Source organism: Homo sapiens, chromosome 8 (genome assembly GCF_000001405.40).
Source record: "Homo sapiens chromosome 8, GRCh38.p14 Primary Assembly".
Lineage (NCBI taxonomy): Eukaryota > Metazoa > Chordata > Mammalia > Primates > Hominidae > Homo > Homo sapiens.
Genome location: NC_000008.11, coordinates 97,769,321 through 97,782,191, shown reverse-complemented (window position 1 = coordinate 97,782,191; position 12,871 = coordinate 97,769,321). Strand labels below are relative to the sequence as shown.

The 12,871-nt window shown below is 47.6% G+C and overlaps 1 protein-coding gene and 1 long non-coding RNA gene across 2 annotated transcripts in view, besides 4 other annotated features; one reads left to right on the top strand and one right to left on the bottom strand.

The window, feature by feature from the left end:
• The window catches only part of LAPTM4B (lysosomal protein transmembrane 4 beta), a 77,226-nt gene extending 70,822 nt beyond the window's left edge, over nt 1-6,404 (bottom strand). The window contains exon 1 of the mRNA NM_018407.6: nt 6,084-6,404. Coding sequence (NP_060877.4) covers nt 6,084-6,182 — 99 coding nt within the window. The 5' untranslated portion in view covers nt 6,183-6,404. The remainder of the gene's footprint in view (nt 1-6,083) is intronic.
• Nucleotides 3,808-4,429: an enhancer, noted in NCBI's record as "NANOG hESC enhancer chr8:98789991-98790612 (GRCh37/hg19 assembly coordinates)". NCBI's record gives its function as "activates a minimal SCP1, AML or CMV promoter by ChIP-STARR-seq in primed H9 embryonic stem cells {active_cell/tissue: H9 hESC(primed)}" and the evidence as "EXISTENCE:reporter gene assay evidence [ECO:0000049][PMID:30033119]".
• Nucleotides 4,612-5,573: an enhancer, noted in NCBI's record as "H3K27ac hESC enhancer chr8:98788847-98789808 (GRCh37/hg19 assembly coordinates)". NCBI's record gives its function as "activates a minimal SCP1, AML or CMV promoter by ChIP-STARR-seq in naive H9 embryonic stem cells {active_cell/tissue: H9 hESC(naive)}" and the evidence as "EXISTENCE:reporter gene assay evidence [ECO:0000049][PMID:30033119]".
• Nucleotides 5,574-6,536: an enhancer, noted in NCBI's record as "H3K27ac hESC enhancer chr8:98787884-98788846 (GRCh37/hg19 assembly coordinates)". NCBI's record gives its function as "activates a minimal SCP1, AML or CMV promoter by ChIP-STARR-seq in naive H9 embryonic stem cells {active_cell/tissue: H9 hESC(naive)}" and the evidence as "EXISTENCE:reporter gene assay evidence [ECO:0000049][PMID:30033119]".
• Nucleotides 6,417-8,489, top strand: LOC124901986 (uncharacterized). The gene is made up of 2 exons (XR_007061020.1): nt 6,417-6,493; nt 7,930-8,489. It is a non-coding gene; the product is annotated as an uncharacterized LOC124901986 (long non-coding RNA).
• Nucleotides 7,564-8,063: an enhancer, noted in NCBI's record as "H3K4me1 hESC enhancer chr8:98786357-98786856 (GRCh37/hg19 assembly coordinates)". NCBI's record gives its function as "activates a minimal SCP1, AML or CMV promoter by ChIP-STARR-seq in primed H9 embryonic stem cells {active_cell/tissue: H9 hESC(primed)}" and the evidence as "EXISTENCE:reporter gene assay evidence [ECO:0000049][PMID:30033119]".
• Nucleotides 8,490-12,871: the final 4,382 nt, after the last annotated feature.

Here is a 12,871-nt window from a genome sequence, read left to right as displayed (position 1 = left end):
CTGACCAACATGGAGAAATCCTGTTATCTACTAAAAATACAAAATTAAACAGGTGTGGTGGCGCATGCCTGTAATCCCAGCTACTAGGGAGGCTGAGGCAGGAGAATTGCTTGAACCTGGGAGTCGGAGGTTGCGGTGAGCCGAGATCGCACCATTGCACTCCAGCCTGGGCAACAAGAGCTAAACTCTGTCTCAAAAAAAAAAAAAAAAGTCCCCAAAGTCTTGTGCAAGAATGTTCAGTGCAGCTTTATTTATAATAGCCCCAAATTGGAAATAACCCAAATGTCCAATATCTGGCAAATGGATAAACAAATTGTGGTATATTAATACAATAAAAACAATACTCAGCAATAAAAAGCAACACTCCAAGAAGATGAATGAATCTAAAAGAAGTTATGCTAAGTGAAAGAAGCTAGATACAGAAGGGTACACACAGCATAATTCCATTTTACATGAATAAGCAAAACTTACCTACAGTGATTGGGGATATGGCAGGGATTAACTGGGAAACAGCACAAGGGAACTTGCTGAAAGTTTGGAAATGTTCTCAAGGAATGTGGGTTACATTACAGAGGCATTTGTCAACTCAATAAACTACATTTAACTGTGAATTTTGCCGGGCACGGTGGCTCACGCCTGTAATCCCAGCACTGTGGGAGGCCGAGGCGGGCGGATCACCTGAGGTCAGGAGTTCAAGACCAGCCTGGCCAACATAATGAAACCCTGTCTCTACTAGGAAAACAAAAATTAGCCAAGCGCAGTGGTGGGTGCCTGTAATACCAGCTACTTGGGAGGCTGAGGCAGGAATCACTTGAACCCAGGAGGCGAAGGTTGCAGTGAGCTGAGATTGCACCACTGCACTTCGGCCTGAGCAATAAGAGCAAAACTCCTCAAAAAAAAAAAAAAAAAAAAAGGCCGGGCACAGTGGCTCACGCCTGTAATCTCAGCACTTTGGGAGGCCAAGGCGGATGGATCACAAGGTCAGGAGTTCAAGACCAGCCTGAACAACATGGGGAAACCCCATCTCTACTAAAAATACAAAAATTAGCCCGGAGCTCACCTGTAATCCCAGCTACTCAGGAGGCTGAGCAGGAGAATCGCTTGAACCCAGGAGGCGGAGGTTGTGGTGAGCCGAGATCACGCCACTGCACTCCAGCCTGGGCGTCAGAGCGAGACTCGGTCTCAAAAAAAAAAAATTGTAGTACATAAATCACAACTCAATAAAAGAAAAAAAAAGAGACAAACAAAAAATGATCTCTAGAATAAATACCTGAAGTCTCCCAAAGTTAGCGTGGCCCAGAATTTTAAAAATAGTAATAATAATAATAAATACCTGAAGTCAATATACTTTACTTCAGGACTGAAGGAAAACTTTTATTATTCCAAGACAAAACCAAAACACATGCACAACTTTTAAAAGTAAAACAGTGGAAACAGAACAGATTAAAACATCACTCAGATCATAAACCAACCATGGGATTTTAAGCTCTCAAGTAAATCACCAAAGTTCTCTAAGCCTCAGTTTTCTCATCTGTAAAATGGGAATAAGAAAATCTACCTCACCAGGAATATGTAAAAATTAACCTTATGCAAAGTATCTAGTAAAGTACATGACACTTGGAGCCTTAGTAAACGGTATTGGTAGGAATCAACAATAAGAAAACATATAAAAAAGATCCACTTTACCTATCTTGCAAAACAGGAAATTACTTAAATGAGCCCTTATTGTGGACTCTTACTTTTTGTTTTATTTATTTATTTATTTTGAGACAGAGTTTCGCTTTTGTTGCCCAAGCTGGAGTGCAATCGCACGATCTCAGCTCACTGCAACCTCCGCCTCCTGGGTTCAAATGATTCTTCTCTCAGCTTCCCAAGTAGCTGGGGTTACAGGCACGTGCCACCACGCCCCACTAATTTTTTATATTTTTAATAGAAACAGGGTTTCATCATGTTAGCCAGGCTGGTCTCAAAACTCCTGACCTCAGGTGATCCACCCGCCTCAGTCTCCGAAAGTGCTGGGATTACAGGTATGAGCCACCGTACCCGGCCTGGACTCTTATTTAAATATCTGCCTTGTCTGAAAACTCTCCGCTTTATTATTATTATTCTTTATTTTACTTTTCTTTTTTTTTTTTTTTTTTGAGACAGAGTCTCACTCTGTTGCCCAAGCTGGAGTGCAGTGGCGTGATCTCGGCTCACGGCAACCTCTGCCACCTGGGTTCAAGGGATTCTCCTGCCTCTGCCTCCCCAGCAGCTGAGATTACAGGTGCCTGCCACTGCGCCCGACTAATTTTGTAGTTTTAGTAGAGATGAGGTTTCACCACCTTGGCCAGACTGGTTTTGAACTCCTGACCTCAAGATCCACTCACCTCGGCCTCCCAAAGTGCTGGGATTATAGGCGTGAGCCACCCACACCCAACTTTTTTTTTTTTTTTTTTAGATAAGAGTCTTGCTGTCACCCAGGCTGGACTTTCCACCTCCAGAGTTCAAGCAATTCTCATGCCTCAGCCTCCTGAGTAGCTGGGATTACAGGCGCATGCCACCACGACCGAATAATTTTTGTATTTTTATTAGAGACGGGATCTTGCCATGTTGCCCAGGCTGGTCTAGAACTCCTGACCTCAAGTGATCCGCCTACCTCGGCCGCCCAAAGTGCTTACAGGCGTGAGCCTCTGCACCAGGCCTCTTTCTCTTTTTTTTTCTTTTTTTGAGACAGAGTCTCACTGTCACCCAGGCTAGAGTGCAGTGGCACAATCTTGGCTCACTGCAACCTATGCCTCCCAGGTTCAAGCAATTCTCCTGCCTCAGTCTCCCAAGTAGCTGGGATTATAGGCCTACACCACCGCACCTAATTTGTACTTTTAGTAGAGATGGGGTTTTACCACACTGGCCATGGTTGGTCAGGCTGGTCTCGAACTCCTGACCTCCAATGATCTGCCCGCCTCAGCCTCCCAAAATGCTGGGATTACAAGCGTGAGCCACCGCACTTGGCCTCTGTTAAGAGACAGTGCTCACTCTGGTTGCCCAGGCTGGAGTGTAGGGGTGCAATCACAGCTCACTGCAGCTTCGAACTCCTGGGACTCAAGCTGGGACTACAGGTGTGAGCCACCACACCTGGCTAATTCTTAACTCTCCACTTTCTGATAATTGACTCCATTCCATCCAGATGGCTGGCTGAGAGAAAGGGTTAGGACAAACCAGGGAAGGTGCCTCGTTTTACAGTGGTCCTGCTCCCTAGCCACACAAACTCTCTTAAAAAAGTTCAAGAAAATCAAAGTTTTGGACAACCAAATTGTTGTAACCGAGCAACTTATAGAGAAACCACACTCTGAGACGAATTCAGGAGTCCTTTATTAGCCGGCGACCCAGAGACGGCTAGTGCTCAAAATTCTCTTGGCCCTAAAGAAGGGGCTAGATTTTCTTTTATACTTTTGTTCAGAAAGGGGAGGGGGAGAGTCTAGTTAAAACAAAGTAGGCAAAAAGTTAAAAGGACAAATGGTTACAGGAAAGTAAACAGTTCCAGGTGCAGGGGCTTTAAATCTATCACAAGGTGACAGACGCGGGGCTTTGGGTGTTATCAACCGGACACAAACGCGGGGGCTCTGGGTACTATTAACCGGGCGAATTCCTGGGAACTGCGGATATAGCTTGCCACAGTATCTTATCAGTTAATTGCATTCTTGGATGTGCTGGGAGTCAGCTTGCACAAGTTAAGTCCTTGAGGAAGCGGGTGGGTAAGGGGCTGCAAGTGAAGGAGCCAAGATGGAGTCTTGTCTGGCTCTTAGCTAAGGGAGAGTCAATTCAGGTTAAAACAAGGTAGGGTATCACAAAATTATATTCAAAGGTCTGAGTGAAAATCACTACTTTAAAAAAAAAAAAGAAAGAAAAGAAAAAGGCTTACATTGCCTTGTGAAATGCAAAAGACTATTTATAAAGATTACCAGTACTTAAGCCAGGTTTCCCAGAAATAGGGTTTACCTAAAGCAACATTTTTATTCACATCTGCTAGAAAGCTTTCTAATTACCTTTCAAAAGGCCATTTATTTCCAAACGTTAAGACAAACACACCAATAACTACTTTCCACAGAGAGCGTGCTCAAACAGTAGACAAAGCATGCTGAGTACTCTCCTTTTATCACACCTACACTGTCTGGTTGGATTACAGCCAACAGGGCTCAAGTAGGATTTATCTTTCCTGTGGATCACGTAGTACATTTGCCTAATGCAATGCCCTAGATTTTACAAATTACGTTCTCTGATGTACTTGCAAGTCGGCAGATTTGAACATTTTCAAGGAAGGCAGACACTTGTATAAAACAGGCTGTCTTGATCATCAATAAAAGCACCAACTATTTTGAGCCACCTACTATCCTTTTGCTATAATTTTCAATTTCAGTAAAGAATTTCTTGGCTTTTACCAAAGTCGAAGTTTAGCTAATATGCTGATGTTCCATCTGTATTTACACTGCACAGTAAGAACCCACACACGCTAAATATCTGTTTGAAATACTTTCACGCCAAAAATTTATATTGTGTGGCCATGATAGGCACTGACTAAAGGAAACTTGAAACTATAAATAGCACAGTGAATACCATATGCCTGGGGTGAAATGTTTTGCTTAAAATGGTACAAGGAAGGGGTTCACAGTTAGACAAAAAGTCCATATTCTACCCAAAAATGGGCCCAATAAACAAACCACACACACACACCCCAACTCATTAAAGAGATAAGAATTTTTCTCGGCCGGGCGCGGTGGCTCACTCACGCCTGTAATCTCAGCACTTTGGGAGTCCAAGGCGGGCGAATCACGAGGTCAGCAGTTCGAGACCAGCCTGGCCAACATGGTGAAACCCTGTCTCTACTAAAAATACAAAAAATTAGCTAGGCATAGTGGCGGGCGCCTGCAATCCCAGCTACTCGGGAAGCTGAGGAAGGAGAATCGCTTGAACCTGGGAGGCGAAGGCTGCAGTGAGCAGAGATCATGCCATTGCACTCCAGCCCGGGCCACAGAGTGAGACTCTGTCTCAAAAAAAAAAAAAAAAAAAAAAAAAAACCTCACTGAAAAAAGTTATATATGCTATTTGTCTACCATTTTCAGGGCATTTTCTCGCGATGCAGTGGTATTCACTGCAAAGCAACTCTGGTCTAACTCTCCATCATGATGTCACAAAACCCAAAATGCAGCGGAATCCGACTCAGTGCTGGTGCAGTCTAGGGGTGCCACCAACCAACGCAGGGCAGGTGCGGGCAAGACTCCATCAGGTTTCCTCACTAGCTCTGAAAATCACTGCTCCTCATACAAAAAAAGACTTCAAAAGTTCCAACCAGGAAAAAAAATGCCAGATTTGCCCGCTGAGTCTGTCAAGAAAAGGTCTGAAGACCAACTGTCCACGGGCAGGAAAAATGTGGGTGGAAAATGGCTTCCCCGGGCAGATGGAAACGCAGTAAATCACACTCACATCCCTTCCTGGAGTAAGGGCTTTAAAACATCGGGGGGGGGACCCATTCACAAGAGGATGCCAAGAACTCCCAACCACTTCAACTCGGGATCCGAACGTGCGACGGCGTGAAAGCGCAGGCCACCCTAGCGGAGACGCGGCCAGGGAGAACGAGCATTGACAAATCCGCAACCCTAACCACAGAGCTGCAAAATATGCGCCGTCACCTCCGCGACCGCTCCGTCCGCAGCCGTCGAAACACAAAGCCCACGGGCTTTAAGAAGAAAGGAAACACGTGCTCGGCAGATAAGCTCAGTTTGTCTGCCCCGGTGCGCCCTACGCGAGGCCGCGGGGCTGCGCGGAGGCTGGAGATCGGCGACCCACACCACCTGGGCGCCAAGGGTCGAGTGCGGCCCTCCGCCCCGCGCCCCTGGCCTCCCCCATCGCCCCAAACTCCTGGCCTCCCCCAGTCGGCGCTGGCCCAGCCGGGGGAAGTGCGGACGCGGCACCCGGAGAATTAAGTTTCTAATAATACAACTTTAGGCGGATGAGCGCACGCCTCACCCCACCGCGAGGCCGGGCCAGAAGCCCAGCTAGGGGCGCGGAAGCAACGCAGGGTCCCGGGCCGGGCGCGCCGCGCTCACCAGATACCAGACGCCGAGCAGGATGGTGCCGGTGCGGACATGGCAGCACAAGCAGCAGCTGTTGGAGTAGAACCGCGTCCAGGGCGCGACCATCTTCATCGCTCCGGGCGCAGTGGCGCGAGCGCGCGCGCAAGTTTTCAGGAGCGTCGACCGCCTCGCCTGGAGCCCGCCGCGCCGCTGCTGCCGGCTCCTCCGCCGCTCCGGCTCCCGGCCCGCTCGCCCGTGCGCCCGCGGGCCTGCCTCCTCGATACCCCGAGAGCTCCGAGCTTCTGCCGGGTCGGTACCCTTCGCTCCGAAGGCGACCGCTGCAGCGGCGGGGACGGGGAGGGGGCGGGGCGGACTTGGCCATGTGACCCGAGTCCGTGACGTCATCGCGGGCTCCAGCCAGCTGCTGGAGCTCCAAGCACCCGGTGAGTAAATCCATCAGCGTGCACCCTCCGCCAGTCCCCTAGTCGGCCCTGAGTGGAGGTCCGGGCCTTCCTTCTTTCATCTGGCCGTTCGTGTAACTCCATTCAAGGGTCGAGATTCTTTTAGTCTAGTTCCTTGCGATTTTCTTCCCTTCTACTTCTTTTTTTTTTTTTTTTGAGACAGAGTCTCGCTCTTGTCGCCCAGGCTGGAGTGCAATGGCGCGATCTCGGCTCACTGCAACCTCCGCCTCCCGGGTTCAAGCGATTCTCCTGCCCAACCAACCGAGTAGCTGGGATTACAGGCGCTTGCCACCACACCCGGCTAATTTGTTGTATTTTTAGTAGAGACGGGGTTTCACCATGTTGGTCAGGCTGGTCTGGAACTCCTGACGTCGAATGATCCACCCGCCTCAGCCTCCCAAAGTGCTGGGATTACAGGCGTGAGCCACCGCACCCGGCCCGCTTCTACTTCTATCTTGCAGGTAATCGATACAGCTCCTATCACTCTTATCTTGCACGAGAGGAAGGAAAACTGCGCGGTGCTATTCCAGTCAATTGCAGTACTTTGAACCACCACCGAGAGCAATTTGTCTCCGCTTCACAGCTCAATTACTGTGGTAGTAATCTTTTCCCAGAAAATAGGATGTGTGTCAAGGACATCCTCGCTGTGCTTCCGGTAGCTTTTTTTTTTTTTTTTTTTTTTTTTTTTTGAGACAGAGTCTTGCTCTGTCACCCAGGCTGGAGTGCAGTGGTGCGATCTCGGCTCACTGCAAGCTCCACCTCCCGGGTTCACGCCATTCTCCTGCCTCAGCCTCCCTAGTAGCTGGGACTACAGGCGCCCGCCACCACGCCTGGCTAATTTGTTGTATTTTCAGTAGAGACGGGGTTTCACCGTGTTAGCCAGGATGGTCTCGATCTTCTGACCTCGTGATCCGCCCGCCTCAGCCTCCCAAAGTGCTGGGATTACAGGCGTGAGCCACAACGCCTGGCACAGCGTTTTTAATCATGAGTGCAGCTCTAAAGATTCAGTCCCAGCCTGGGCAACATGGCGAAACCCTGGCTCTACAAAAAATACCAAAATTGGCTGGGCGCGGTGGCTCACGCCTGTAATCCCAGTGAGAGACAAGAGTAGCGGATTTCCTGGGGCGACTAAGAATTCCTAAACCTACCTGGGGAAGGGGACCGCACCCACCCTTAAACATGGGGCTTGTAACTCAGCTCACACCTGACCAATCAGGTAGTAAAAAGGGCTCACTAAAACACCAATTAAGCTAAAAGCAAGAGGTAAAGAAATAGTCAAATCATCTATCATCTGAGAGCACAGGGGGAGGGACAATGATTGGGATATAAACCCCAGGCATTCCAGCCGGGAGTGGGCAACCCCCTTTGGGTCCCCGCCCACTGTATGGGAGCTGTTTTCACTCTATTAAATCTTGCAGCTGCACACTCTTCCACCTGGAGCTGAGCTTTCGCTCACCGTCCACCACTGCTGTTCGCCGCTGTTGCAGACCCGCCGTTGACTTCCACCCCTCTGGATCCGGCAGGGTGTCCCCTGCGTTTCTGATCCAGCGAGGTGCCCATTGCCGCTCCTGTTTGGGCTAGAGGCTCGCCATTGTTCCTGTGCGGCTAAGTGCCCGGGTTGGTCCTAATCAAGCTGAACACTAGTCGCTGGGTTCCACGGTTCTCTTCCGTGACCCACGACTTCTAAAAGAGCTATAACACTCACTGCATGGCCCAAGGTCCCATTCCTTGAAATCCGTGAGGCCAAGAACCCCAGGTCAGAGAACGAAAGGCTTGCTGCCATCCTGGGAGCAGCCGCCACCATCTTGGGAGTGGCCCACCACCATCTTGGGAGCTCTAAGAACAAAGACCCACCAGTAACACCAGCACTTTGGGAGGCCAAGGCGGGGGGATCACCTGAGGTCAGGAGTTTGAGACCAGCCTGACCAACATGGAGAAACCCCATCTCTACTAAAAATACAAATAAAATTAACTGGGCGTGGTGGTGCATGCCTATAATTCCAGCTACTGGGAAGGCTGAGGCAGAAGAATGGCTTGAACCTGGGAGGCAGAGGTTGCGGTGAGCCTAGATCGCGCCATTGCACTCCAGCCTGGGCAACAAGAGCGAAACTCCATCCCAAAAAACAAAAACAAGACAAAATTAGCCGGGCTTGGTGGCACGTGCCTGTGGTCCCAGCTACTCCAGGGGCTGGCTGCAGCGGGAGAATCACCTGAGCCGGGGAGTTCGAGTCTGCAGTGATCCGTGATTGTGCCACTACACTCCAGCCTGGGCGACGGCAGTGAGACACTTCTCAAAACAAAAAAGAGAAACAGTCATCCAACCAGTTACACAAGGCCTCTGCAAGACACAACACAGTGTTAGAGATAGTGAAAGATAGTTCTATGTTTTGGAGGAGTTTATTTCCTCCCAATTCGTGTTTTGTGTAGAAGCACCGTTGTCTGCGGTTAGCCTACGGACTACTGTCAAAGCCAAGAATCTGAGATAGGTTAGATTATTAGCACGGGTGAAAGTTTTATTTCAGACATGGAGTAAAAAAAAAAATTGATTCGATCTAAATTTCCTAAGATGAGGCTAAATAGGAAGAAAGATACTGTTAAAACTATTCAATTACAGAACTGATTAGTTTTACGAGTCTTTAAAGCTGCAACTTTCTTACTATGTAGCTTTATCCTGGAACCAAGAGCCATCCCTACCATGTCAAGTGTAGGCCCTTAATTAGAAATGATAAGTAACATTATTTGGGGAATTAATCAGAAAACCAAACAAAAAGCTCCGTTTTTGTTTTGTGTTTTCTTTCTTCTTTCTTTTTTTTGATGGAATTTCGGTCTTGTTGCCCAGGCTGCAGTTGCAATGGCGCGATCTGGGCTCACCACGACCTCCGCCTCCCGGGTTGAAGCAATTCTCCTGACTCAGCCTCTTGAGTAGTTGGGATTACAGGCATGCGCCACCACGCCCGGCTAACTTTGTATTTTTAGTAGAGACGGGGTTTCTCCATGTTGGTCAGGCTGGTCTCAAACTCCTGACCTCAGGTGATTCGCTGGCGTTAGCCTCCCAAAGTGCTGGGATTACAGGCATGAACCACCTTGCCCAGCCTTGTTTTGTGTTTTCACTACAAAATTCTGGTTTCTTCAAGTTGAATAATGAAGAACAACAACAAAAATTCTGGTTCCTTTCACATTAGAGATCATTTTCTCTGTGGGCTCTTCCATTTAAAATTTAATTATGCCCACAGCCACTTTTTAAAAATATATATGTATATACTAGTCAAGTGCAGTAGTGACAACAGGGAAAACAGTAGAACAAGGAGTTCCATCTGTAACTGACCATGAACAATCAATTGAGATAACTCACTACCTTCAGACAATCAGCCATTTTTTTTGAGACGGTGTCTCGCACTGTCGCTGGGCTGGAGTGCAGTGGCGCCATCTCGGCTCACTGCAACCTCCGCCTCCCGGGTTCAAGCGATTCTCCTGCCTCAGCCTCCCAAGTAGCTGGGATTACAGGTGCCCATCAGCACGCCCAACTAATTTTTTGTATTTTTAGTAGAGATGGGATTTCACCATGTTGGCCAGGCTGATCTCAAACCCCTGACCTCGGGTGATCTGCCTGCCTTGGCCTCCCAAAGTGCTGGGATTACAAGTGTGTGCCACTGCGCCTGGCCCACAGCCACTTTTAATATAGGACAAGCATTTGTGCTCTGAGAAAGAATAGAGACATGTGATCAGAATAGGAAATGGTATCTTGAATGAGACTTTTTCAACAATTAAACTCCCAGCAAGCTCCCATAGTTACCTTTCCTTTTTCCCTCCCCACCAGAATTTCATATTTATTAGGCAAATCAATCATTGATTCAAGGGAATTTTATATTTTAGAAATCTTACTGTTCAAGATCTGAACTTACAGACAGTTGCCAAATTTCTCTAGATAAGAAAATAAAGAATAGAGGGAACCTAACTGGATAACAAAAAAAAAAGGAGAGAGAAAAATGCCATTGCAGTTAAAGGTTATTAAATAAAGCTTAGTGTCAATGTCTTTGGAGTTGTATTTGTTTGGGTGCAAGAGAGTATGGGAATTGGCTTCAAAAGAACAAATGAAACTGCCTTTGCAAAGTTATGACTAAGGAAATTTTTTTTTTTTTTTTTTTTTTTTTTTTTTTTTTTTTTTTTGAGACGGAGTCTCGCTCTGTCGCCCAGGCTGGAGTGCAGTGGCGGGATCTCGGCTCACTGCAAGCTCCGCCTCCCGGGTTCACGCCATTCTCCTGCCTCAGCCTCCCAAGTAGCTGGGACTACAGGCGCCCGCCACTACGCCCGGCTAATTTTTTGTATTTTTAGTAGAGACGGGGTTTCACCGTTTTAGCCGGGATGGTCTTGATCTCCTGACCTCGTGATCCGCCCGCCTCGGCCTCCCAAAGTGCTGGGATTACAGGCGTGAGCCACTGCGCCCGGCGACTAAGGAAATTATGACAAGTGAAAGACATCAGCTCTAACTAACTCTATCTTGCCTCTAATCTCTGAACTCTCCTTGTCCATTACTGGGCATAGCCCCAACTAGCCTTAGGAAGGAATTTAGTTTATAATTTAAATAATAGCCCCTCCTCAAAGCTAAACTGTCCTTGTGAAATGAATAAAAGGCCACCAGCCACCAAGTTAGAATGAGAGGGGCTGGAATTCTAAATATTACCAGCCGTTATCCCAGAGGTTGTAAGATTCGCAACTTCCACAATTATTCTTTTTTTTTTGTAATTTTTTTAAATTATACTTTAAGTTTTAGGGTACATGTGCACAATGTGCCGGTTAGTTACATATGTATACATGTGCCATGCTGGTGTGCTGCACCCATTAACTCATCATTTAGCATTAGGTATATCTCCCAATGCTATCCCTCCCCCCTCCCCCGACCCCACAACAGTCCCCAGAGTGTGATGTTCCCCTTCCTGTGTCCATGTGTTCTTATTGTTCAATTCCCACCTATGAGTGAGAACATGCAGTGTTTGGTTTTTTGTCCTTGTGATAGTTTACTGAGAATGATGATTTCCAATTTCATCCATGTCCCTACAAAGGACATGAACTCATCATTTTTTATGGCTGCATAGTATTCCATGGTGTATATGTGCCACATTTTCTTAATCCAGTCTATCATTGTTGGACATTTGGGTTGGTTCCAAGTCTTTGCTATCGTGAATAGTGCCGCAATAAACATACGTGTGCATGTGTCTTTATAGCAGCATGATTTATAGTCCTTTGGGTATATACCCAGTAATGGGATGGCTGGGTCAAATGGTATTTCTAGTTCTAGATCCCTGAGGAATCGCCACACCGACTTCCACAATGGTTGAACTAGTTTACAGTCCCACCAACAGTGTAAAAGTGTTCCTATTTCTCCACATCCTCTCCAGCACCTATTGTTTCCTGACTTTTTAATGATCACCATTCTAACTGGTGTGAGATGGTATCTCATTGTGGTTTTGATTTGCATTTCTCTGATGGCCAGTGAAGAAATGCAGAGAAATCACAATTATTCTTAAAGGTAACATCAGCGTTGAGAACCTAAGATCTGTCTTTTGAGATGTCTTTTCAGGTTTTTGCATTTCTAACAACTGGATGGCCCCACCTGGACCTGCCAACCAGTTCTGTGCCCCCCACCCAGGAACTGACTCAGCATAAGAGAACATCTTCCACTCCCTCTGATTTCATTCCCGAGCCAGCCAATCAGCACTCCTGATTCACTGGCCCCCCCTCCCTACCCACCAAATTATTCTTTAAAACCCTGATCAAGGCCGGGCACGGTGGCTCACGCCTGTAATCCCAGCACTTTGGGAGGTTGAGGCGGGTGGATCACCCAAGGTCAGAAGTTTGAGACCAACCTAACCAGCATGGCAAAACTCTGTCTCTGCTAAAAATACAAAAATTAGCCTGGCGTTGTGACAGGCGCCTGTAATCCTGGCTGATTGGGAGGCTTAGACATGAGAATAGGGAGGCTGAGCCATGAGAATAGCTTGAACCCGGGAAGCGAAGGTTGCAGTGAGCCGAGATCCCACCACTGCACTCCAGCCTGGGGAACAGAGCGGGACTCTGCCTAAAAACAAAAACAAACAAACAAAAACAAACCCTGACCTTCCACTGGCCTCCCGCACAACCAGCTCTGCATGAATTATTTTTTATTGCAATTCCCGTGTCTTGATAAATCGGCTCTGACTAGGCAGCGGGCAAGGTAAACCCCTTGGGTGGTTACACAGAGGCTTCCCAAGGAACTTAGTCACAGCTGGGTTATTCTTTTCATTTTTTGGGGGGGCGGGGAGCAGTATTATTTTCAAACAACCACATATTTAACTGGCATACTGATTGCAGTAGTAGAGTTAC